Source organism: Homo sapiens, chromosome 19 (assembly GCF_000001405.40).
Source record: "Homo sapiens chromosome 19, GRCh38.p14 Primary Assembly".
NCBI lineage: Eukaryota > Metazoa > Chordata > Mammalia > Primates > Hominidae > Homo > Homo sapiens.
This window is the reverse complement of record NC_000019.10, coordinates 19,919,792-19,945,810: the sequence shown is the minus strand read 5'-3', so window position 1 is coordinate 19,945,810 and position 26,019 is coordinate 19,919,792. Positions and strand designations below refer to the sequence as shown.

General features: G+C 40.1%; 1 protein-coding gene, 1 long non-coding RNA gene and 1 pseudogene across 3 annotated transcripts in view; 1 reads left to right on the top strand and 2 right to left on the bottom strand.

Moving 5' to 3' along the window:
• Window positions 1–2,108, bottom strand: part of BNIP3P12 (BCL2 interacting protein 3 pseudogene 12) — a 65,535-nt pseudogene extending 63,427 nt beyond the window's left edge.
• LOC124904665 (uncharacterized) lies at window positions 678–7,293 on the top strand. The gene is made up of 3 exons (XR_007067170.1): window positions 678–6,076; window positions 6,149–6,245; window positions 7,128–7,293. It is a non-coding gene; the product is annotated as an uncharacterized LOC124904665 (long non-coding RNA).
• Window positions 7,294–10,235: 2,942 nt separating this feature from the next.
• The window catches only part of ZNF93 (zinc finger protein 93), a 34,630-nt gene continuing 18,846 nt past the window's right edge, over window positions 10,236–26,019 (bottom strand). For both annotated transcript variants that reach the window (NM_031218.4, XM_047439495.1), the window contains exon 4: window positions 10,236–12,629. In NM_031218.4, coding sequence (NP_112495.2) covers window positions 10,993–12,629 — 1,637 coding nt within the window. In that variant the 3' untranslated portion in view covers window positions 10,236–10,992. The remainder of the gene's footprint in view (window positions 12,630–26,019) is intronic.

Genomic DNA, 26,019 nt, shown 5'->3' with positions numbered 1-26,019 from the left:
AGTTTACAGCCTCGTGGGCAGCCTTGTTTAGGCCTGCAATGAGGCAAGTAATCATATGATTATGGGATGCCAGGCTGGGGTCTGTGGGTTGGTACTCCCAAGGAGGCTCCTGCCAGGGTACTGCAGCGGCTCCTATGGGCTTGGTAAAATCTTGCTGATGGAGATCATCAGCACGCGTCGGGGCTGCGAGCCACACTCTTTCCTTCTTTTCCAGAAGGAGGGTAAAAGACAGGATAATATAGAGATCATGCCAAGTGAGTTCATAAGACTGAGTAAGATACGTACATTCTTTGATATAGGTATCAGGATCGGAGGAGAAAAATCCGAGACATTTTTCAACTTGGAAGAGATCGGAAAGGGAGAAGGGGATGTGGACACAGACGATCCCTTTGGCCCCTGCTGCTTCCCAAAGGGGCAACAAGGGAACTGGCTGCTTGGCCTGAGAGTGGGTAAGGGGTGGTGATGGGGAGGACTCAGAGTCAGAAGGAGGGTTGTTGGAGAGAGGGGGAGAAAGAAGTAGAGCCAGAGCGGGGGCATACGGAGGAGGATCATGATGCTCTGGCAGAGGATCATGATGTTGACGGGGAGGGGGAAAATTGGTGGGGTCAAAGGAAGAGGAGTCATCAGCTGGGGCGATGGGGAGGGTAGTAGGGGATGAGTCGTCGGCTGGGGTCGTAGGGAGGGTGGTAGGAGGCAAATCAGGTTTAGAGCAGGCAAGGAGGATTTGGAAAGTAGAACAGGACTGGCAGAGAGAAGGGTGGCTATGGAGAGTGAAGAAAGCCTGAACATAAGGAATCTCAGACCATTTCCCATTGCGGTGGCAAAAGTTGTCTAAGTCTGTAAGCATGTTGAAATCAAAAGTGCCATTTTCGGGTGATTGGGAGCCATTGTCCAATTTGTATTGAGGCCAGGCAGTATTACGGTAGAAAATAAGCCTCTTAGGATGGACCCTTGAATGGAGGCTGAGAGCATTGAGGTTGTGCAAAAGATACCCAAGGGGGGTGGTTTTAGGAGGGGTAGAATGAGAAGCTCCCATGGTAAATAGAGGAGGGGGGTAGAGGAAGAAGAGACTGCCAGTTGACAAGGATGGCAGGTGAGGGCGTCCCCTGTCCCACAAGCCCTGTCCGGAATGTAGGAGGTAGCTGCCTCCTGAAATGGAGAAACCAGAGGACTGGAGGCTGAAGAAAGCCCTTGGCTCAGCGCTGGGTCTTTTGGGAATGCAGAGACAGTCAAGGGTTCCGGGTAAATGGCAAGACTCTCTCTCTTACCCCTTTGGAGGCTCTGAAGGTGAATGAAGTCACCAACAATGGGAGAGTCTAGGAGATCCTTTGGGCCTTCAGCAGGTTTGGGAAGGGGAGGGTGGCTAGCAGGGGGTGGCAGGAGAGGGGGAAAGGCACCTAGGCTCCAGCGCACAATGACCAGCAAGCCTGGGAGGAGGGAGAGTGTGAGAGAGAGAGTGACAGAAAGTCCTCTAGGGACGCCCGGCCAGAGTCTACCTCTTCCCAGGTTTTGACACCAAAATGTAAGGTTGGCCGAGAGAAAGGACAAGTAGACCCAAAGTCAGGCAAGTAAGTTTATTAACCTACCGGGCTGGTCCACAGCAATCAGAAGAGGTAGCCCTGAGCTTACAAAGTGAGGGGTTTATGTGAGATGAGAGGGGCTTAAGGGAGTTAACTTTGCCGCTAGATAGTTTATCAGTTAGGAACAGGCACAAAGGCAGTTTATCAGTTTACCATGAACTTGCAACACCTCATCATGTGACATTTATGGCGGCAGCTAGCTGAAAAACAGGAGTTCACAGGAATGTGTAATTAAGGTTTGTTCATATTTCCTATGACCTCCCCCATGCTGCCCATATGGCTGTAATTAGGGTTTGCATGCTGTACCATGACTGCAAATTCTACTGTGGCACCTAGATAAGGGCTTAGGAATGCAGCTGCAGAGTATTCAGGGTAAGGGTATCTGGACTCATCCTGGGAATTCGGTAGTATTTTTTCCATTTCACCATTATAAATAGAAACTGGGGCTGAAACACTGCTTACATTCCCATTATTGTGAAGGTGTAAATCTACCCATGAGGCCTGCAGGCTCTCCTCCTGCAGCTCAGGCCTCACTCTCTGATGTGACACTAGAGTGCTGCTGTGGCAAATGGGGTTCACATAAAATGTGAGCTGTGCTCTGGGCTGTGCCTCAGTAGCAAATTGTAGAAGTCAACAGAGGACACTAGTAACCAGGAGAAAGCAAGCAGGAGTGCTGTAGCCCAGTGCCAGGGAGTGCAGAGACACTGCTCTAAAATGTAAATAGCCAAATCAAGATAGAACCCTATTCAACCATTTTTGTAGCAGAGTGAAATCTTACCTTCAGCAGGCACCTGGCTTCAAGCTGCTAAGCTACCTCCTGCTATGAAGATGGGAAAAGTTTATTTGTCATTGAATATAAGCAATTAGCATACACAGATGGCCTCTTCAATCTCCAGATGAATTTAGGATGAATTATGTATGACATGGTGCTGGAAATTCTTCTACTTGTGGACTAATTTTGGTGACCATCCTTCTGTCTTTGCAGTCTCTTAAGCAGATTGACTATGATGCATGTCACATTCAAGTTCAATTGTGTAATAAAATGTTTTCTTTCTATCTTATTATTGTGGAGTTTCTCTGAGGCTGGAGAAAATTTTTCTTTTAATTATTGTTTCCAAGCATGGTCTAGAATTAGCAGACATGATATAAACACATAAGGTGAAAACCAGAATTTACTCTAGAGGGGACTTTCCCTCTCAGACTTCCAGTCAACTCACACCTGTGCTACAAAGTGCACACTGTCCCCTAAATATGCAGGCAGAATTGTGTCTCTGCCTATATGGTATCTATAATCCTCTACAGTCACTTCTAGAGAGGTTAGGTCCAGATTTCTACAAACTCCACGGGGCACCAATCAATCATTGTATCTTCATACCTGAAACTGATTCAGACACCACGGGGCCCAAAAACCCAATCAGAGTAACATGTGTGCATTGAGTAGACATGTAGACAGAATCTCCACTTTCCCCTTCCTCCTCTTGCTGAAATGCTCACAAATCTGCAGTTAACACCCGCTGCTACTCCAGCCGTTCAGGTTCTAAATCTGCAGCTCCAAATTTTGAATCCAGGTCTTGAGATTTGGGAAATAAAAAACTTTTATCTGGAAAATGCAAGTCCTTTGGTTATCAAACTCAGAGAGACATTAAAATGCAAGTGTAGTTACGCCTGTCTTCCCCATTTGAAATATGTATTCATCTCTTGAAACTGTACACTATTGCCCCAAGTAGCTATAAACTAATAATGCCACATTGGACACTATATCCCGTACCCTAAACCATAACCATATATATACAATATATATCTCATCAATAATCAGTTATTTCTGTAAATAAATAAAAATTTCTAACAATCAACTTTGTATCAGCCCACTCTCTGTCCCTCTCTTGTTGTCATTACAAATCCTCTTGTAACTGCTGCTAATCAAACTGTAGATTCCAGGCAACTTGAATCTTTGCTCCCAGGTTATAATTCTTAAGTTTGACCAAAATAAAGTGTCTACTTATATTCATGTTGTGTCAGCTTTTTCTCTTTTTTTCATGTAGATTTATCATTTAGAATGTGCTAGAGCAGACTCTATGAGGGGATCTCTCCTTTGATTGTGCTTCACTTTCTGTAACACCAAAGGATGCAAATCCAGGTGGATCCTGCCTAGAATCTGCCAATAAGGTCTGGCCTCTGCCTTGGATTTACAAAACAGGGCCGGACTTTTGATTGAGAATGTACAGAAACAAACAAAAGATATTTTCTGCGTTGTGAAATGTAAACATAGACATAGCCTCCATTTGGGAGTGTGGCTCTTTGAGATTTTTCACATCTTGTTCATTGACCTGCTACAGTTATGTGAGAGGCTCCAGAAGGAAATAGAATCTGAGGGCAGAATCTGTCAGTGTAAATAAGCATCTTAGGAGTAAGAGATCAAGGCCCCAAAGTATCCAGAGCCATGACCACAACTACATTTACCTGTAAAATGTGATACTGGAGTAGAGTATTTTTGTTCTTTCTTTCAAGAGCTAGAAAATCAGAACAGGTGATCCAGGTTCAGGAGCTCCACTAGGGCACTTCCATTTTCTATGTAGAATCAGCCTAAGTCTCCAGCCTGGCTTATTATTGGGCCATCAGCCCCAGATCACTGGGAATCTCTCACAATCACCTAGGTGTCTTTGAGGCATTTGAGGATGTCCAGATGGAGTCTCACTCTGTGTCCCAGGCTGGAGTTCAGTGGCATGATCTCAGCTCACTGCAACCTCTGCTGTCCAGGTTCAAGTGATTCTCCTGACACAGCCTCCCGAGTAGCTGGGATTACTGGCACATGCCACTGCACCTGGCAAATTTTTGTACTTTTAGTAGAGACGAGGTTTCACCATCTCATCAGGCTGGTCCTGTACTCCTGACCTCGTGATCCACCTGCCTCAGCCTCCCAAAGTGCTGGGATTATGGGCGTGAGCCACCACATCCGGCTGTATAATTTCTATTTCTTTCACTTGTTAAGTGTACGATATTTATTTTCCAATAAAATTACCCTAGAAAACCTTAAGGGGTTTGTTTAAATTGCATATTAGTATATAGTATAAAGTTGACAGGGCAGTGGCTAGAAAATATTTAAATTACAGAAACTGTTGGATTTAAGTTTCTTTTAGGACATTTAGAAGAAACAAATCTGGTAGTACCCCAGTGACATAGAGAACAGAATTCTACATAGGGTCCTCACACTGCCCCAGACTTGTTTACATATATTCTTTTTGAAGGCCTTATTTAGGTCTGACCATACCCTGGAGTCTTGCTCTCAGAACTGATTAGTAGAGATCAAGAGTTTTGGCTGGTGAATCCTGCTGCCTTTCTAGAGCTGGTGCTCACAATTTCCTGAAACCCAAAAGCAGATGAATGGGAAAAATAAAGTATGTATTATAGAGTCTTAGCTTTTAAGTTTTCTATTAAAACCAGTGCTTGCAGAGACATTCTATTTAGCAACTTGTTTTCTATTCCTGCAGATCCAGTAATTGCTCCCCAAGTAACAAAAAAGTAAACATAAACAGAATAAAATTTTCTCTAAACTGCATTAAACTCATCCTTTCTATATCTTTTCTATCTGTCTATATTTAGCTTTTATTTCTTACAACTTTTTAAAAAATTTGATGACAGAGAAACAGAAGAATAAAAATGCTGGGCCCTTTATCTAAATCCTGAAAATTCCTAAACCCTTAGTACTAGCTCCCAGGGTATTATGAGAATTAAATCACATAATGTGTTATGCCCAGCACAGTGCTCTGTATCATACTCTTGAGCACATAGTACTTGCTTAATAAACATTGCAGTAGTACATGTGTACATGTTGTTTTTTAAACCCAGACTTATTCAAACATTGCTGCCTTCTGTTTCCTCTATAAACTTAAAGAGCCAGCAAAGAATATAAAACTTTAGGATGGAGATGGGTTGTCCTTATTTGCACGACAAGTATTTGGTTGTGAGAAGGGTGTTAAGTGTAAGGGACCCTGTGCTCTGCCTGCTTTCTCTAATGCTAATAATGAGCCAAGGGGGAGCAACATCAGCATTGACAGGAGACTTGTTTAAAACACTCTTTCATAAACCCTTTTCAAACCTGCAGAATCACCTTACATAATGTGGGACCAAAATTACCAAGTGATTTATACTTGTGCCCTCCCCACAGCTTCTGTTTATTGTTCTGGGTGGAAGGATCCATGTTGTTTTAATGAAGGGCCTCATGTGACTCTAAGGTGAGGCCAGAATCAAGTATGAAGGCTTCAAAATACATTTTCGAGAGTTAAGTTCCACCTTTGCACTAAAGGGTGGTCACAGGGCCTGTTCTGTTTGGGTTTGGTAGGGACAGGTCAGTGTGGTGCATATTTCCATTACTGTAGCAGAAATTGCTGGAGTCTCTGGCAGGGGAGGGCACCTGAGGACAGGAAAGGAGAAGCTTATATTTTTGTCTTCATGGAGCAGCTCATTATTCCTGAATCTATTCTGTTTAAAAGACAGCAGTAAGTGAATTTTTCTTTTTCTGCCAGTTGATGTCATACTAGCAGGTAAATGTGGTACTGACACCTTTAAAGGCATATTCTCCATATGCAGGTGTAACTTGTCCAGAGAATCTCATCTGAGAAGGAATTCCAGAGGAGGAGGAGAAAGAAAAAAATGGCTTTTCTTCAGGTAAACATGTGTCAGATGAAGAGCTGTGTCCACTCTGCCTCCTGGACTGCCATGCGTTTAGTACTCACAAACCTTTACTTCTCTACTTGTGTTTTTCCTCCCTAAGGAGTTTGGTTTAACTACTTCTTAAAATTCTTATGATAGTCAAGGGTCTCTGGAAAACGTTTCTGTCCTATGTCCCACAGACTTCTCTACATTCTGTACGTCATAGCTTCTTATATGCCATGCAGAATGCTCCGCAAGAATTTATGACCTGCAATATTAAAAATGTTCCCTTTGTGGCTGTTGAACATGGAAAGATGTGGATACTCAAGGTTTCTATTGGGGAAAACTGTGGCCCTTAGTAAAGATGGAGAACATGTAATGTTGAGGCTCCAGCTGTGTGTTCCATTAGCTCTATGCAGAAGAGGATTAAGAAAATGCTGATTTAAATGGAATGGCATTTATTACCCAGAAAGTTCTGAAAAAAATTATTAGGAGATACTTGCTCTCTAGGGTGCTAAATGAAGCCTAATTAAAATTCCTACTAAAAATTACAGAACATAGGAGTTACCTGTATTTTGAAGTTTGCATAAACTGTTGTTTATGGTTAAATTCAGACTAGTTTACTGTTTTGGGGAGGAATATTTCAACAGTGATGCTGTGTTCTTCTGTGTGCAGTAGCACATCATAAAAATTTGTCCTAGTGCAGTTAATGGTTAATGATTCACTTGGTGAAATAGCTGATTGATTTTTTTCACTGTAGAGATAACTATTTTTCTCTTCATAATTATCTTTATGCAGCTGCTCTACACAAGTGATCACATTTAATCTGGCAGTTCTCCTTTTATTTTTTCTACATATTTTTCTTTAGAAAATGAAGGCTCTTATCTTTGTTTACAGGCTAGAAAAACTGGGAAAACACAGGCTCTACCACTTACTGGATCTTTGACAAAATATCCTTATTAGGCCAAAAACGTTAGCATTACTGGTAAGCTTGTTAGAAATTCAAAAAATCAGCGGGGAGCCCTGGCTCATGCCTGTAATCACAGCATTTTGGGAGGCCAAGGCAGGCAGATCACCTGAGGTTGGGAGTTTGAGACCAGCCTGACCAACATGGAGAATACCCTGTCTCTACTAAAAATACAAAAATAGCTGGGCGTGGAGGCACATGCCTGTAATCTCAACTACTCAGGAGGCTGAGGCAGGAGAATTGCTTGAACCCAGGAGGGGGACACTGCCGTGAGCCAAGATGATGCCACTGCACAGAAGCCTGGGCAACAAGCATGAAACTCCGTCTCAAATAAAAAAGAAAAGGAAATAAATACGTAAATCAGACTTACTCCAGATCTTCTTGGAAAAAAAAAAAAACCTGCATAAGGTCTTCAGCTTATTGTACATAATAAATTTGAGAAATGCCTAAGTGAATGTCTTTTCCATCTGAAAAATATTCACAACTCATTCCGTATGATGTAAATATAGCACTCAAAAATGTACATGTTCGTGTTCATGCCCTTAATTTTATACTTTATTATCTAGAAAAATAAAATATATGAACTGTTGTTCTGGATCTTATGGTGCTTTTTTTTTTTTATCATAGTTAGAGAATAATATTTCTGTTTTGAAAATTATTTTATTGGATAATTTTAGTCAGTGCTATAAGTCAGAACCACTTCTCTTTACTCTCTCATTTCACCTTAAGTCAAATTAAAAATTCCACACCTGGCCACTTGGTAAAAATGTGTGTGTTCTTCAGGGACCATTGCAATTTAGAGATGTGGCCATAGAATTATCTCTGGAGGAGTGGCATTGCCTGGACACTGTACAGCGGAAGTTGTATACGAATGTGATGTTAGAGAACTATGGAAATATGGTCTTTCTTGTTGAGGATAACTTTAAGACATAATTCATAATATACCCTAAAGGTTTTATTTCTCTTTTATGTAGAACTTTTTAGTAATCTATTCTTTGCATAAAAGAGTTTCAGATCCCCTTTTTTCAGAAAATCTTCAAAATTTGCTCATGCAGAAAAGTCTCTTCAAGATGTTTCATCTTAATCCAAACTTTCCACATTCCTGATTTGAGCTGTATAATTCACTCTAAATTAGTGGTAATTCCAAAAATTTAGTGACAAAGTATTCTTGCCCCCACCTGAAAATCTAATTGCCACCAATTTTTGATTCAGTAGTATTAGATAGTAAAATTAAGAAACCTACAAATTGAAAGCATTTTCTAAATATTTAGAAATTTGTTATAGATTAGTATTTTGTAATTAATTTACTAGAATATTTTATCACATCCTCTCTACTGAACACATTACTAGCTTGTAATTGGAGAATATGAGCACGATTCATGTTATTTATTCTTAATACAACAGTATTGTTGTCTCTAAGCCAGACCTGATCACTCATCTGGAGCAGGGAAAAAAACCTTTGGCTCTGAAGAGACATGAGATGATTGCCAACCCCCCAGGTAGGTATGAGTGAAAATGAATACAACGGAAAACACAGGTAAGAAGTCTCAAAGTCAAAGAGAAAACCAGTTCTTAAAATCTAATTTGGAAGTTGTATTCCAAAGGAAATATTTCCTGAGCAGCTGTTTTTTTTGTTTCTAAATTTTGCTCTCACAAAGGGGCATCTTCTGTCTTATGCTTTTAAATTCTCTAAGGATTCTACTTTTCTTTCAGTGAACTTCCTTCAAGTTCACAGTGAGAGCCAAAGTCCTCTTCATGGTATATAAGAGACTGCACAATCTGGCTGCTTTTCTATTGTTTTGGGGACACACAAATATCTGCATGATTTTGATAAACTATTAAGTTTTTTTCATCATGTCTGAAATATGTGTTAGTTTCTGTTGCATTTTTGCTCATTTTTTTGCACAATCCATTTGGTTTTTATTAGAATACAGTCTTGAAATACAGCTTGACATTATAAGTATGATATCCTTCTGCTTTTTTTTTCCTCAAGATTGCTTTGGCTATTCAAATTTTTAGTTTCACATAAATTTTAAAATAGTATTTTCCATTATTGTGAAAGAAATACCACTGCAAGTTTTGATAGGAAGTTTATTGAATCTGTAGATAACTTTGGATAATACGGCACTTTAATGATATTTACTTTCAACCCAGAGATAAAATGTTTTATATTTATTTGGATTTTCTCTAATTTTTTATTGATATTTTTATTGTAAAGATTTCTTACCTTTTTGGTTATTTTCTCAGAGATTTATGTATTTATTTTTTGAGAAAGTGTCTTGCTCTTTCTCCAGGCTGGAGTGCAGTGGCATGATCTCAGTTCACTGAAACCTCCACCTCCCTGGGTTCTAGCGATTCTCCTGCCTCAGTCCTAATTAGCTGAAACTACAGACATGCACCACCATGCCCAGCTAATTTTTTATATTTTAGTTGAGATGGGGTTTCACCACGGCCAAGATGGTCTCGATCACCTGACCTTGTGATCCGCCCACCTTGACATTACAGGCATGAGCCACCAGGCCTGGCCAGACATTTATTATTTAATGCTATAGTAAATACGATTTTCTTTTTTTTTTCTTTTTCAGATGGAGTCTGGCACTGTTGCCCAGGCTGGAGTGCAATGGCACGATCTCTGCTCACCACAACCTCCACCTCCCAAATTCAAGCAATTCTCCTCCCTCAGCCTCCAAACTAGCTTGGACTGCAGGTGCTAGCCACCATTCCCAGCTAATTTTTGTATTTTTAGTAGAGATGGGATTTCAACATGTTGGCCAGGCTGATCTGTAACTCCTGACCTCAGATCATTCACCCGCCTTGGCCTCCCAAAGTGCTGGGATTACAGGCGTGAGCCAAAGTGCCCAGTGTGTTCCTCTGTTTAATTAGATAGTTTAAGTGTATAAAACCATACATATACATGTATGTTGATTTTATATTTTGTTAATTTACTGAGTGTATTTATTAGTTTAGACGGGTTTTAATGTACTGTTTAAGGTTTTTCAAATATAAGATTGTATGATCTACAAACAGCAACATTTTTCTTCAATTTCAATGGCTATTTTTATTTCTTTGACTAATTCTTCTGCCACACACTTCCAGTGCTACATTAAAATAGAACCAGACAATGGGCATAATATAGTTTTGTACTGGTGTCTGAATTTGATGGAGCAAACACCTTTTCAAGTTTTCATAAACTGATGTTAGAAGGTAAAGATCTTTCGTTGGGCCCTTAGGGTGATGAGATGCCCTCTGAATTTGTAGTGATGAGGGGTTTTAGCCTGGTCACAAGGTTGCTGGGTCTGCACTATAGTCCACCTTTAGCTGGCTTGTTAGAGGGGGTTGGGGAGTTGAAATCTTCATTTTAGTTTTGGACAGACTAAATATCCTTCAGGACTTCACTCTGTACGGCAGACACTAGGGCATGTTTTGGCAGTCAGGTCTGCATATGGTGGGCCTTGTATCAGGATGTGGATGAGTGTGGCTTTCAGTGAGTACCAGAGAGCATTTCCTCAGGTTAACTGTGTGGGTTTCTATATAGGCAGAACTGACCTTAAGCTGTGGCTCAGGTAACTGAAACTGAGTCATTGAACCACTTCAGGTACCGTAGTAAAGGCCAAGGTCTGCAGGCCTGCCTACATGGCTGTAAATGGGCCACTTCCTCCAGGTCTCCGAAATGGCAGGACCTCTGCCAGACTGTGCCTGGGAGGAGTTTGGGATGGTTACAGAGTAAGTTCAGAACTCTCAGTGTATAGTAAGGTGTGAGGACCACTTGAAGGCTTTGCCACATTCTTCACACTTCTAGGGTTTCTCCCCAGTATGAATTATCTCATGTCTACTAAGGCTTGAGGGTGAAATAAAGGCTTTGCCACATTTATCACACTCGTATGGTTTCTCTCCAGAATGGATTTTCTTATGTGAAGAAAGGGTTGCAGAATGGTTAAAAGCTTTGCCACATTCTCTACATCTATAAGGTTTCTCTCCAGTATGAAGTATCTTATGTGTAGTAAGGTGTGTGGATAGGTGAAAAGCTTTGCCACATTCTTCACATTTGTAGGGTTTCTCTCTAGTATGAATTTTCTTATGTTTAATAAGGGTTGAGGACTGGTTAAAAGCTTTGCCACATTCTTCACATTTGTAGGGTTTCTCTCCAGTATGAATTTTCTTATGTTTAGTAAGGGAAGAGGACTGGTTAAAAGCTTTGCCACATTCTTCACATTTGTAGGGTTTCTCTCCAGTATGAATTTTCTTATGTTTAGTAAGGGATGAGGACTGGTTAAAAGCTTTGCCACATTCTTCACACTTGTAGGGTTTCTTTCCAGTATGAATGATCTCATGTTTACTAAGGGTTGAGGATGCAACAAAGGCTTTGCCACATTCTTCACATTTGTAGGGTTTCTCTCCAGTATGACTTCTCTTATGTGAACTAAGGGTAGAGGAGTACTTAAAGGCTTTGCCACATTCTTCACATTTGTAGGGCTTCTCTCCAGTATGAACTCTCTTATGTCTAGTTAGGACTGAGGACCAAATGAAGGCTTTGCCACATTCTTCACATTTGTAATGTTTCTTTCCCATATGAATGAACTCATGTCTACTAAGGGTTGAGGATGCAATAAAGGCTTTGCCACATTTATTACACTTGTATGGTTTCTCTCCAGTATGAATTCTCTTATGTGTAGTAAGGATACGGGAGTACTTAAAGGCTTTGCCACATTCTTCACAAACGTAGGGCTTCTCTCCAGTATGAATTTTCTTATGTTTAGTAAGTGTTGAGGATTGGTTAAAAGCTTTGCCACATTCTTCACATTTGTAGGGTTTCTCTCCAGTATGAATTTTCTTATGTTTAGTAAGTGTCGAGGATTGGTTAAAAGCTTTGCCACATTCTTCACACTTGTAGGGTTTCTTTCCAGTATGAATGATCTCATGTTTACTAAGGGTTGAGGATGCAATAAAGGCTTTGTCACATTTATCACACTTGTATGGTTTCTCTCCAGTATGAATTCTCTTATGTGTATTAAGGGCAGAGGAGTACTTAAAGGCTTTGCCACATTCTTCACAAATGTAGGGTTTCTCTCCAGTATGAATTTTCTTATGTGTTATAAGGGTTGAGAACTGGTTAAAAGCTTTGCCACATTCTATGCATTTGAAAGGTTTTTTTTCAGTATGTCTTATATTATGTCTATTTGAATTTGAAAATTTATGAAAGACTTTCCCATATTTATCACATTGAAATACTTTGCTCTGGGTAGTTGTACTACACTGGTTAAGTCCATTATAACCTCCTGTGTGCACCTTACACTCATCTACACTTTCACACCTTTTTATTAACTGTAAATTTCCATGTCCACGTTTTTCATATCTTCTCAGTATCACTTTTTGGAAAGAATCTTTTATGTTCTGCTCTGGCCAAAGATCTTGGGCAAAATGAGAACATATAACTGAAAGAAACAATAAAAACACATTACTTCAATTGCTAGACTCAGATAAATATACTTTACAAATCTAACCTATAAAATTATACAAACTACATAACTAAGATGACATAGTAAAATACCACAAGCTGTAATGTCTTCCTGAACATATAAATGTAACAAAAACATACAAACCAAAATGGCACAAATGTAACTGGTAAGGCAGGTAAATTTAACTCCATCTCAAAAACAAACAATTGAAAAACAATATTTTGAAGATGTCTTTACTGCTCAATTTAATCTACAGATTTAATGCAATGTCTTTCAAATGACTCACAGCATTTTCAAAGAAATAAAAACAACAAATTTAAAAGTATATGGAATCCAAACAGACAATAAAGTACCCAGCAATCTTCAAAAACAGGAACAATGTTACAGGCAATACCATTTCTGATTTCAAAACACATCAAAAAGCTACAGAATTAAAATAATTTGGTATGAGTATAAAGGTGAAAAAGTAGACTAATAAAACAGAATGCAGCAAATATATTACATTAACTTTCACATAATTATTGTAGCATTGTTACTGCAAGCCACTAGGTAAAAGTAATCGAAATTTGTGTCACCAAATCATTCAGTAGACACAAAAGTACAGGAATTATCACTCAGTTTTCAAAAAGCAGAAAATACTGTAACAACTATTAAGATAAATATTGATGACATTATGCAAAATAAAGTGACCCAGCCGCAAAAAGACAGAGATTGGATGAGATATATAAAGCAGTTATACTCTTAGAAACAGAAAACAGAGTGGTGTTTGAAAAGAACCACAAAATACAAAGGATTGGTAGTTATTTACTGTGTACTGAGATTTAGCTTTGCAAGATAAAAAACACTCTAGTGATATGTTGCATAACAATGTCAATATAATAAGACCAAACTGAATATTTGGAAATATATATATATTTTGAGATGGAGTCTCACTCTGTCTCCCAGGCTGGAGTGCCTCCTGGGTTCTAGTGATTCCCCTGCCTCAACCTCCTGAGTAGCTCGTACTACAGGCATGGGCCACCATGCCTGGCTAATTTTTTGTATTTTAGTAGAGATGGGATTTCACCATGTTGGCCAGATGGTCTCGATCTCCTGACCTCGGGATCCACCCACCTTGGCCTCCCAAAGTGCTGGGATAACAGGCGTGCACCTGTAGATACACCATATAAAATAATTTTTATATCAATAACAAACTGGAAAATATAGAGGCATAGTTTTTATTCAATTGAAGTTGTTATGAGATTAAAATATATTGTTTTAACTTTAAGATGTATGTAATCTCCAGTTTTTGAGATGATTACTAAGATATTATTTATACAAAGTATGCAAAAGAAAATAAAATATAATCAAAGCATGCCAGTACAAAATTAAATGAAAATTAAGTAAGTAAAACAGGAAATGAGAAAAATATAACTACTAGAAACACATAAAACAATAACAATATTAGTGGTAATAACAACTTCATTTCTTTAACCAATCATTTTAAATATAGATTAAACTACTAAATAAAATGAAATGTAATCATAGGAATTTGGAAGTTCAAGATGGGCTGATCACTTGAACCCAAAAGTTCAAGATCAGCCTGGGCAACATGGCAAACCTCTGTCTCTACAAAAAATACAAATAAGCTGGTTGACAGAGTGAGACACTATCTCAAAAATAAATGAGGCTGGGTGCAGTGGCTCATGCTAGTAATCCCAACACTTTGGGAGGCTGAGGCAGGCAGATCACCTGAATTCAGGAGTTCAAGACAAGCCTGGCCATCATAGTGAAATCCCGTCTCTACTAAACTTACAAAAAATTAGCTGGGCATGGTGGCATGCACCTGTAATCCCAGCTACTCAGGGGGCTGAGGCAGGAGAATCACTTGAAACTGGGAGGTGAAGGTTGCAGTGAGCTGAGATCATGCCATTGCACTCCAGCCTGGGCAACAAGAGTGAAACTCCATCTCAAAAACAAACCAAATAAAATAAATAAATAAATAAATACAAATATAAATATATATATAAATAAAATTATATAAAGAAAAAGATATAGAATGCCTAAGTGGTTTTTTTAAAAAAGCATACAGTGTGCTGCCTACAAGGGACTTACTTTAGCATTAAGTCAAATAGGCAGAAAGTAACAGAATGAAAAAAATGTATATTCCATGAAAATAGCAACCACAATTGAGTAAGGTGGTCATAATTATATTAGACATAATATGCTTTAAATCAAGTACTTCTACAAGACAAAAATTGATATTATATTGTGGGCAGCAAGCCACCTAGGTGCCGAGGCAGGAGACCAAGGACATGAGCTGTTCCAGCATAATAAAATATAAGATAAGAATAGTTATACCAGATATAGATCTTAGATATGATTATATATGAATATCATTAATCATTAGTTGGTAGCAATTACTTTTTATTCCAATATTATAATAATCCTCGATCTATAATCACAACCTAGGAAAAGCCAGGCCATACAGAGATAGGAGCTGAGGGGACATAGTGAGAAGTTACCAGAAGACAAGAGTGAGAGCCTTCTGTTATGCCCAGACAAGGCCACCAGAGGGCTCCTTGGTCTAGCAGTAATGCCAGCGTCTGGGAAGACGCCCGTTGCCTAGCAGACCGCGGTCTAGCAGTAGCCTCAGTGTCAAGGAAAAACACCTGCTACTTAGCGGACCAGGAAAGGGAGTCTCCCTTTCCCTGGGGGAGTTTAGAGAAGACTCTACTCCTCCACCTCTTGTGGAGGGCCTGACATCAGTCAGGCCTGCCTGCAGTTATCCGGAGGCCTAACCGTCTCCCTGTGATGCTGTGCTTCAGTGGTCACGCTCCTAGTCTGCTTTCAGGTTCCATACTGTACACCTGGCTCTGCCTTTTAGATAAGAGTAGCAAAATTAGTGAAAGTACTAAAAGTCTCTGATATGCAGAAATAATGGCATAAGCTGTCTCTCTCTCTCCCTCTCTCTCTCTGCCTTGGCTGCCAGGCAGGGAAGGGCCCCCTGTCCAGTGGACACGTGACCCACGTGACCTTACCTATCATTGGAGATGACTCACACTCTTTACCCTGCCCCTTTTGCTTTGTATTCAATAAATAACACTGCAGCCAGACATTCGGGGCCACTATCGGTCTCCACGTCTTGGTGGTAGTGGTCCCCCGGGCCCAGCTGTCTTTTATCTCTTTGTCTTGTGTCTTTATTTCTACAATCTCTTTTTTTTTTTTTTTTTTTTTTTTTGAGACGGAGTCTCGCTCTGTTGCCCAGGCTGGAGTGCAGTGGCGCGATCTCGGCTCACTGCAAGCTCCGCCTCCCGGGTTCACGCCATTCTCCTGCCTCAGCCTCCCAAGTAGCTGGGACTACAGGCGCCCGCCACTACGCCCGGCTAATTTTTTGTATTTTTAGTAGAGACGGGGTTTCACCGTTTTAGCCGGGATGGTCTCGATCTCCTGACCTCGTGATCCGCCCGCCTCGGCCTCCCAAAGTGCTGGGATTACAGGCGTGAGCCACCACGCCCGGCCCTACAATCTCTTATCTCTGCACACAGGGAGAAAAACCCACTAATCCTGTGGGGCTGGTGCCTACGTTATATGATGGTAAAGTGAGTTGATTTAGCAGGAATGTATAACTAAAATATTTATCTATCTATATGTATATGTGTACATAACATCAGAGCTCCAAAATATATAAAGCAAATATTGATAAAAGTGAAGCGAGATATACATAGCAACATAATGATTGTAGACATCAAGACCCAGTTTGCAATAATAGAAAATTCAGGTAAAAAATAACAACCAAAAAACTTAGACAACATTATAGACTATATTGATTCTTTTGCATATAGAGAAATACTTGAGAGTGCATAATTTATAAAGAAAAATTGTTTATTTGGCTCACAGCTTGGCAGAGTGTATAAGAAGTGTGTGCCAGCATCTGCTTCTGGTGAGGATTTCAGAAAGCTTAAAATGAAGGTGGAAGGTAAAGAGTAACTGGACATATTATATGGTAAGAGACAGAGCAAGTATGAGGTGAAGAAGCCACGTTCTTTTAATGAACCAGCTCTTATTTGAATTGATACAGTGTAAACTTTTTGGTTACCGAGAGGATGTACCAAGCCATTCATGAGAAATTTGCCCCCAATGACCCAAACGTGTCCCACCAGGTCCCATAGCCAACATTGAGGATTTATATTGCAGCATGAGATTTGGACAACATAGACATCCAAACCATATTATAGACCAACTAGGCTTCACAGACACACACAAAACTCTCCAGTCAAAACCAAGATAATACACAATATTCTTATTTGCACCTGGTATATTCTGTTAGGACACATAACAAGTTTTATTAAATTTAAAAATACTGATTGGGTGCCATGGCTCTTGCCTATAATCCTAACACTTTGGGAGATCCATTGGTGTCAAAAGTTTGAGACCAGCCTGGGCAACATAGTGAGATCCTAACACTACAAAAAAGCAAACAATTAGCCTTACATGGTAGTGCATGTCTACAGTCCTACCTACTCAAAAAACTGAGGTGAAAGAACAATCACTTGAGCCCAGGAGGTTGAGGCTACAATAAGCTAAAATTCTGCCACTGCACTGCAGCCTGGGTGACAGTAAGATCTTGTCTCAAAACAACAACAAATCAATTTAAAAACACTAAAATTATGCACTGGGTTGTTTTCTAATAAAACCTGAATAAAACTAGAAATTAAAAAGCAAAAGTCAAACTGGCAAATTCAAAAATATGTGAATATGAAACACACTCTTCAATATATTCTTGCTCAGGGGTCAAAAATTTCATTTTTCAAAGATATCAATACAACCTACAGTTAAAAGCTACAGTAACATAAACAATATGATACTGACACAAACATAAACAGATGAAAGAACAGAATAGAGAGCTCAGAAATGAACCATTTTGTATATGATCAAATGATTTTCCACAAAGTTGCCATGTTTACAAAATAGAGAAAAATAATCTCTTCAAGAACTGATTATCAACACTGATAAAGTTGGCTTATTTTCTTGAATGATACAAAAACATATTTTAAATAAACTACTTAGACATAAAAATACATAAATGGAAAAAAGTATTCATAAATCTATATCCAAAACATGTTAACACAGGCCAGGTGCAGTGTCTCAAGCCTGTAATCCTAGCAACTGGGGAGGGTGAGGTTGGCAGATACCTGAGGTCAGAAGTTCGAGACTAGCCTGGCCAACATGGTAAAACACCATCTCTACTAAAAATATAAAAATTAGCTTGGCGATGTGGCATGCACATGTAATCCCAGCTACTTGGGAGGCTGAGGTACAAGAATTGCTTGAACCAGAAGGCAGAGGTTGCAGAGAGCTGAGATTGCACCACTGCACTTTAGCCTGGGCAGCAAAGCAAATCCATGTTTATTGTAATCAGTATTCACAAAAGCCAATAGGCTGAAGCACCCTAGATGTCTCTTGACTTATAAACATATTAAAAAATGTAACATATACATACAATGGAATATTATTCCACCTTAAAGAGAATAATCTTGTCACCTTTTTAGATGAACCTTGTGAATATTATGTCACCTGAATTAATCCAGTAACAAAATTATGGATACTGTATGATTCCACTTATGAGATATCTTAAGTAGTCAAAATCATAAAAACAGAAAGTAGAAGGCTTGTCTCTCAAGGTATGGAGAGAGGGTAAAATGAGCAGTTGTTACTTAATGGACATTGAATTTAAGTTTTACAAGATGTTAAGTTTCTAGAAGTCTTTTGCATAACAATGTGAATATACTTAACATGCCTGAAATGAACAGCTTTTTTTGAGATAGGGTCTCACTCTGTCACCCAAGCTGGAGTGTAGTGGCACAATTTTGACTCCCTTCAATCTCCCAAGTAGCTGGGACCACAGCTGCACACCACCATGCCTGGCTATTATTAAATTTTTTTCATAGAGAGGGGTCTCCATATGTTGCCCAGGCTGTTCTCAAACTTTTGGGCTCCAGGGATCCTCTTGGCTTGACCTCCCAAAATCCTGGGATTACACATGAGCACCACAACCACACCTGGCCCTGAAATATAAACTTCAATAAATTTAAGATGGTAAATTTTATGTTATGTGTTTTTAAAACAATGTTTTTAAAGAAAAACTGAAAAAAATACAGAATTATAAATCTTTTTGAAAATTACCTTCAAATCACAAAAGTGTTTCTTTCACAAAAAGAAATATACATTAATCATTAAACACATGGTGAAAATAAGACTATCTCCATGACTCTCACTTAGACAAGATAAAACTACCATCGAAAATCAGCTAAGAAAGAATATAAGCCATAACTAAAATTGGAGTCATATTTATAGATATACACATATACATATATAATCTGATTGATAGACATGCATAATTTATTTCTTAATTAAACCTCAAATTGACTTAAAGTGTACCAACAGAATTACAAATTGTCTAAAATTATAATACTTAAGTAAAATCAAAAAACACAAGAAACTAATGTTAAGAAACCTACAATGAGGCTGGGTGCAGTGGCTCACACCTGTAATCTTAGCACTTTGGGAGGCTGAGGCACGAACCACAATCCCTTGAACCCCGGAGGCAGAGGTTGCAGTGAGGCAAGATCACGCCACTGCGCTCCAGCCTGTGCGACAGAGTGAGACTCTGTCTCGGAAAAAAAAAAAACCCTACACTGAGAAAACACACTAATATGGAACTTTGAAACAATAATAGAAATGTTTCCTCATAAAATCTAGTATGCAACATTGATGTATCACAAAAAAAATAATTGTCAGGCTGGGTGCAGTGGCTCATGTCTGTTATCTCAGCATTTTGGGAGGCCAAGGCGAGTGGATCACCTGAGGTCAGGAGTTCAAGACCTGCCTGGCCAATGTAGTGAAGCCCCGTCTCTACTAATAATACAAAATTTAGCTGGGTGTGGGGACACATGCCTGTAATCCCATCTACTTGGGAGACTGAGGCACGAGAATGGCTTGAACCTGGAGGTGGAGGTTGCAGTGAGCCAAGACCGCACCACTGCACGCTAGCCTGGATGACAGAGATTGACTCCATCTAAAAAAAAAAAAAAAAAAAATTCTAGGTAACTGCAATATTTAGCTTTTAGTTTGTACTCATGAAGTGCAGGTATTTTGAATCATTGGTATGCACTGTATGGCAGTAAAATTTCAGAGAATATGCCGTATAATTATAAATAGAAGATTCTAATAAGAAACTTAATAAATTAGCATTTAAAAGAACCTAGAGTTACTTTTGTTTTAAATATATGCTATTCTTACACAAAATGAAACTGCTGTAATCCAATTTTAGAAGCAAAGAGTAGTCTTACATTTTTAAATAAAGAAAATACATATTTTGCAGAATAGGGTTAGACCCTCTGATATGTAAAACAAATATTAGAAAATAAAGTATATTATTATTTAGATATAGGTTAAAGTAAGTAGATGAAAATCCTTTAATTCCTTTTTGCCTGCAGCAAACTGAAATTTACAAGTAACTATTTTCGTAAATATGGAGTGCCTACTAATTATCTAATTTACTTGAGGCATACCATGCAAATTCTAGCATATTGTCCTAAATATCTGAATCTCAAATTACAGACAAATTTGAAGTAGAAAATAGAAAGTAAAAATCTACAGGGAGAGTGACATCAGTAAGATGAAAAGATTAAAAGTGCCCTATTTTCATATCCCCTTACAGCAAAAAAGATCTCAACCATCCTTGACAAACATGCCTTTATGAGAAAACCAGGCATTATGGTTCACAACTGTAATGACAGCTCCACGGTACATTAAGGTTTGAGAACTGCTTCAGGTCAGGATTTTGAGACCAGCCTGGATTATGTAGCAAGATGACATCTCCAAAATAAGTGCCTCTAACAGAAATTTGAGATCCGGGGAGGGAGTTGTGAAATGCTGTTAAAGCTGAAGATTGGACGTGTTCTATTCAGAAGGGAGGCCTTCATTCAGGTGGGAAACTACAGGACCCCTGTTCTTGGCTACAGCCCAGGATAGAGTTCAGCCAACTTGGTCTCACTGAGAATTCTGAACTTACTCTGTAACCATCCCAAACTCATCCCAGCCACAGTCTGGGAGAGGTCATGCCATTCCAGAGACCTGAATAAAGGCATCCATGTACAGCCATGTAGGCAGGCCTACAGACCTTCGCTTTTACTGCGTTCCCTGAAGCAAATCAATGATTCAATTTCAGTTGCCTGAACCACAGTTTATGGTCAGTTCTGTCTACATAGAAATCCACACAGTTGGGCCAGGCGGGGTGCCTCATGCCTGTAATTCCAGCACTTTGGGAGGCTGAGGCAGGTGGATCACCTGAGGTCAGGAGTTGGGAGACCAGCCTGACCAATATGGAGAAACCCCCTCTCTACTAAAAATACAAAATCACCCGGGTGTGGTGGCACATGCCTGTAATTCCAGCTACTTGGGAGGCTGAGGCAGGAGAATCTCTTGAACCCAGGAGGTGGAGGTTGCAGTGAGCCTAGATTGCACCATTGCACTTCAGCCTGGGCAACAGGAATGAAACCCCACCTCAAAAAAAGAGAAAAAAAAAAAGAAAGAAAAAAAGAAACCCACACAGTTACCTGAGGAAATGCTTCAAAAATCGGTTTATGAAAACTTGAAGAGGTGTTTGCTCCATCATATTCAGACACCAATACAAAACTATATTGTGTCCATTGGCAATACATCTATTTGAATGTAGCACTAGAAGTATGTGACAGAAAATTATTCACAGAACTAAAAAAAATCCGGCTGGGTGCGGTGGCTCACGGCTGTAATCCCAGCACTTTGGGAGGCAGAGACGGGCGGATCATCTAAGGTCAGGAGTTTCCGACCAGCCTTACCAACATGGTGAAACCTCATCTCTACTAAAAAATTACAAAAAATTAGCCAGGCATTGTGGCAAACACCTGTAATCCAAGCTACTCTGGAGGCTGAGGCAGGACAATTGCTTGAACCCAGGAAGCAAAGGTTGCAGTGAGCCGAAATCATGCCATTGCACTCCAGCCTGGGCAACAAGACTGAAATCCCACCAAAAAACAAAAGAAAGAAGAAAGAAGGAAGGAAGGAAGGAAGGGGACAGTTCCAAGATGGCCAAATAGGAACAGCTGCAGTCTACAGCTCCCAGTGTGAGCAACACAGAAGACGGATGATTTCTGCATCTCCAACTGAGGTACCGGGTTCATCTCACTGGGAATTGTCGGACAAGGGGTGCAGGACAATGGGTGCAGCACACCAAGTGTGAGCCGAAGCAGGGCGAGGCATCACCTCACCTGGGAAGTGCAAGGGATCAGGGAATTCTCTTTCCTAGCCAAGGAAAGGGGTGACAGACAGCACCTGGAAAATTGGGTCACTCCCACCCTAATACTGCACTTTTCTGACAGTCTTAGCAAATGGCAAACCAGGAGATTATATCCCATGCCTGGCTCAGAGGGTCCTACACCCATGGAGCCTCGCTCATTGCTAGCACAGCAGTCTGAGATCAAACTTTAAGGCACCAGCGAGGCTGGGGGAGGGGCGCCTGCCATTGCTGAGGCTTGAGTAGGTAAACAAAGCATCCAGGAAGCTCGAACTGCGTGGAGCCCACCACAGCTCAAGGAGGCCTGCCTGCCTCTGTAGACTCCACCTCTGGGGGCAGGGCATAGCCAAACAAAATTGCAGGAGAAACCTCTGACAGCTTGGAAGACAGTAGTGGTTCTCCCAGCATGGAGCTTGAGATCTGAGAACAGACAGACTGCCTATTCAAGTGGGTCCCTGACCCCTGAGTAGCCTAACTGGAAGGCACCCCCAAGTAGGAGCAGATTGACACCTCACACGGCCGGGTACCCCTCTGAGATGAAACTTCCAGAGGAATGATCTCTGGAGCAGCAACATTTGCTGTTCACCAATATTCGCTGTTCTGCAGCCTCCGCTGCTGATACCCAGGCAAACAGGGTCTGGAGTGGACCTCCAGCAAACTCCAACGGACCTGCAGCTGAGGGTCCTGACTGTTAGAAGGAAAACTAACAAACAGAAAGGACATCCACACCAAAACCCCATCTGTATGTCACCATCATCAAAGACCAAAGGTAGATAAAACCACAAAGATGGGGAAAAACAGAGCAGAAAAACTGAAAATTATAAAAATCAGAGTGCCTCTCCCCCTCCAAAGGAACACAGCTCCTCACCAGCAATGGAACAAAGCTGAATGGAGAATGACTTTGATGAGTTAAGAGAAGGCTTCAGACGATCAAACTTCTCCAAGCTAAAGGAGGAAGTTCAAACCCATGGCAAAGAAGTTAAAAACCTTGAAAAAAGATTAGACGAATGGCTAACTAAAGGAACCAATGCAGAGAAGTCCTTAAAGGACCTGATGGAGCTGAAAACCATGGCACGAGAACTATGTGACAAATGCATAAGCATCAGTAGCTGATTTGATCAACTGGAAGAAAGGGTGTCAGTGATGGATGATCAAATGAATGAAATGAAGCGAGAAGGGAAGTTTAGAGAAAAAAGAATAAAAAGAAATGAACAAAGCCTCCAAGAAATATGAGACTATGTGAAAAGACCAAATCTACATCTGATTAGTGTACCTGAAAGTGATGGGGAGAATGGAACCAAGCTGGAAAACACTCTGCAGGATATTATCCAGGAGAACTTCCCCAATCTAGCAAGGCAGCCCAACATTCAAATTCAGGAAATACAGAGAATGCCACAAAGATACTCCTCAAGAAGAGCAACTCCAAGACACATAATTGTCAGATTCACCAAAGTTGAAATGAAGGAAAAAAGGGCAGCCAGAGAGAAAGGTCAGGTTACCCACAAAGGGAAGCCCATCAGACTAACAGCTGACCTCTCGGCAGAAACTCTACAAGCCAGAAGAGAGTGGGGGCCAATATTCAACATTCTTAAAGAAAAGAATTTTTAACCCAGAATTTCATACCCAGCCAAACTAAGCTTCATCAGTGAAGGAGAAATAAAATCCTTTACAGACAAGCAAATGCTGAGAGATTTTGTCACCACCAGGCCTGCTCTACAAGAGCTCCTGAAGGAAGCACTAAACATGGAAAGGAACAACTGGTACCAGCCACTGCAAAAACATGCCAAATAGTAAAGACCATCGAGGCTAAGAAGAAACTGCATCAACGAATGAGCAAAATAACTAGCTAACATCATAATGACAGGATCAAACTCACATATAACAATATTAACCTTAAATGTCAATGGGCTAAATGCTCCAATTAAAAGACAAAGACTGGCAAATTGGATAAAGAGTCAAGACCCATCAGTGTGCTATATTCAGGAAACCCATCTCACATGCAGAGACACACATAGGCTCAAAATAAAGGGATGGAGGAAGATCTACCAAGCAAATGGAAAACAAAAAAAGGCAGGGGTTGCAATCCTAGTCTCTGATAAAACAGACTTTAAACCAACAAAGATCAAAAGAGACAAAGAAGGCCATTACATAATGGTAAAGGGATCAATTCAACAAGAAGAGCTAACTATCCTAAATATATATGCACCCAATACAGGAGCACCCAGATTCATAAAGCAAGTCCTTAGAGACCTACAAAGAGACTTAAGACTCCCACACAGTAATAATGGGAGACTTTAACACCCCATTATCAACATTAGACAGATCAATGAGACAAAAAGTTAACAAGGATATCCAGGAATTGAACTCAGCTCTGCACCAAGCAGACCTAACAGACATCCACAGAACTCTCCACCCCAAATCAACAGAATATACATTCTTCTCAGCACCACACTGCACTTATTCCAAAATTGACCACATAGTTGGAAGTAAAGCACTCCTCAGCAAATGTAAAAGAACAGAAATTATAACAAACTGCCTCTCAGACCACAGTGCAATCAAACTAGAACTCAGGATTAAGAAACTCACTCAAAACCGCTCAACTACATGGAAACTGAACAACCTGCTCCAGAATGACTACTGGGTACATAAGGAAATGAAGGCAGAAATAAACATGTTCTTTGAAACCAATGAGAACAAAGACAAAACATACCAGAATCTCTGGGACACATTTAAAGCAGTGTGTAGAGGGAAATTTATAGCACTAAATGCCCACAAGAGAAAGCAGGAAAGATCTAAAATTGACACCCTAACATCACAATTAAAAGAACTAGAGAAGCAAGAGCAAACACATTCAAAAGCTAGCAGAAGGCAAGAAATAACTAAGATCAGAGCAGAACTGAAGGAGATAGAGACACAAAAAACTCTTCAAAAAATCAATGAATCCAGGAGCTAGTTTTTTGCAAAGATCAACCAAATTGATAGACCGCTAGCAAGACTAATGAAGAAAAGAGAGAAGAATCAAATAGATGCAATAAAAAATGATAAAGGGGATATCACCACCCATCCCACAGAAATACAAACTACCATCAGAGAATACCATAAACACCTCTACGCAAATAAACTAGAAAATCTAGAAGAAATGGATAAATTCCTCAACACATACACCCTCCCAAGACTAAACCAGGAAGAACTTGAATCTCTGAATAGACCAATAACAGGCTCTGAAATTGAGGCAATAATAGCTTGCCAACCAAAAAAAGTCCAGGACCAGATGGATTCACAGCTGAATTCTACCAGAGGTACAAGGAGGAGCCGGTACCATTCCTTCTGGAACTATCCCAATCAATAGAAAAAGAGGGAATCCTCCCTAACTCATTTTATGAGGCCAGCATCATCCTGATACCAAAGCCTGGCAGAGACACAACAAAAAAAGAGAATTTTAGACCAACATCCCTGATGAACATCGATGCAAAAATCCTCAATAAGCTGGCAAACCGAATCCAGCAACACATCAAAAAGCTTATCCACCATGATCAAGTGGGCTTCATCCCTGGGATGCCAGGCTGGTTCAACATACACAAATCAATAAACATAATCCAGCATATAAACAGAACCAACAACAAAAACCACATGATTATCTCAATAGCTGCAGAAAAGGCCTTTGACAAAATTCAACAGCCCTTCATGCTAAAAACTCTCAATAAATTAGGTATTGATGGGATGTATCTCAAAATAATAAGAGCTATTTATGACAAACCCACAGCCAATATCATACTGAATGGGCAAAAACTGGAAGCATTCCCTTTGAAAACTGGCACAAGACAGGGATGCCCTCTCTTACCAATCCTACTCAACATAGTGTTGGAAGTTCCAGCCAGGGCAATCAGGCAGGAGAAGGAAATAAAGGGTATTCAATTAGGAAAAGAGGAAGTCAAATTGTCACTGTTTGCAGATGACATGATTGTATATCTAGAAAACCCCATCGTCTCAGCCCAAAATCTCAAGCTGATAAGCAACTTCAGCAAAGTCTCAGGATACAAAATCAATGTG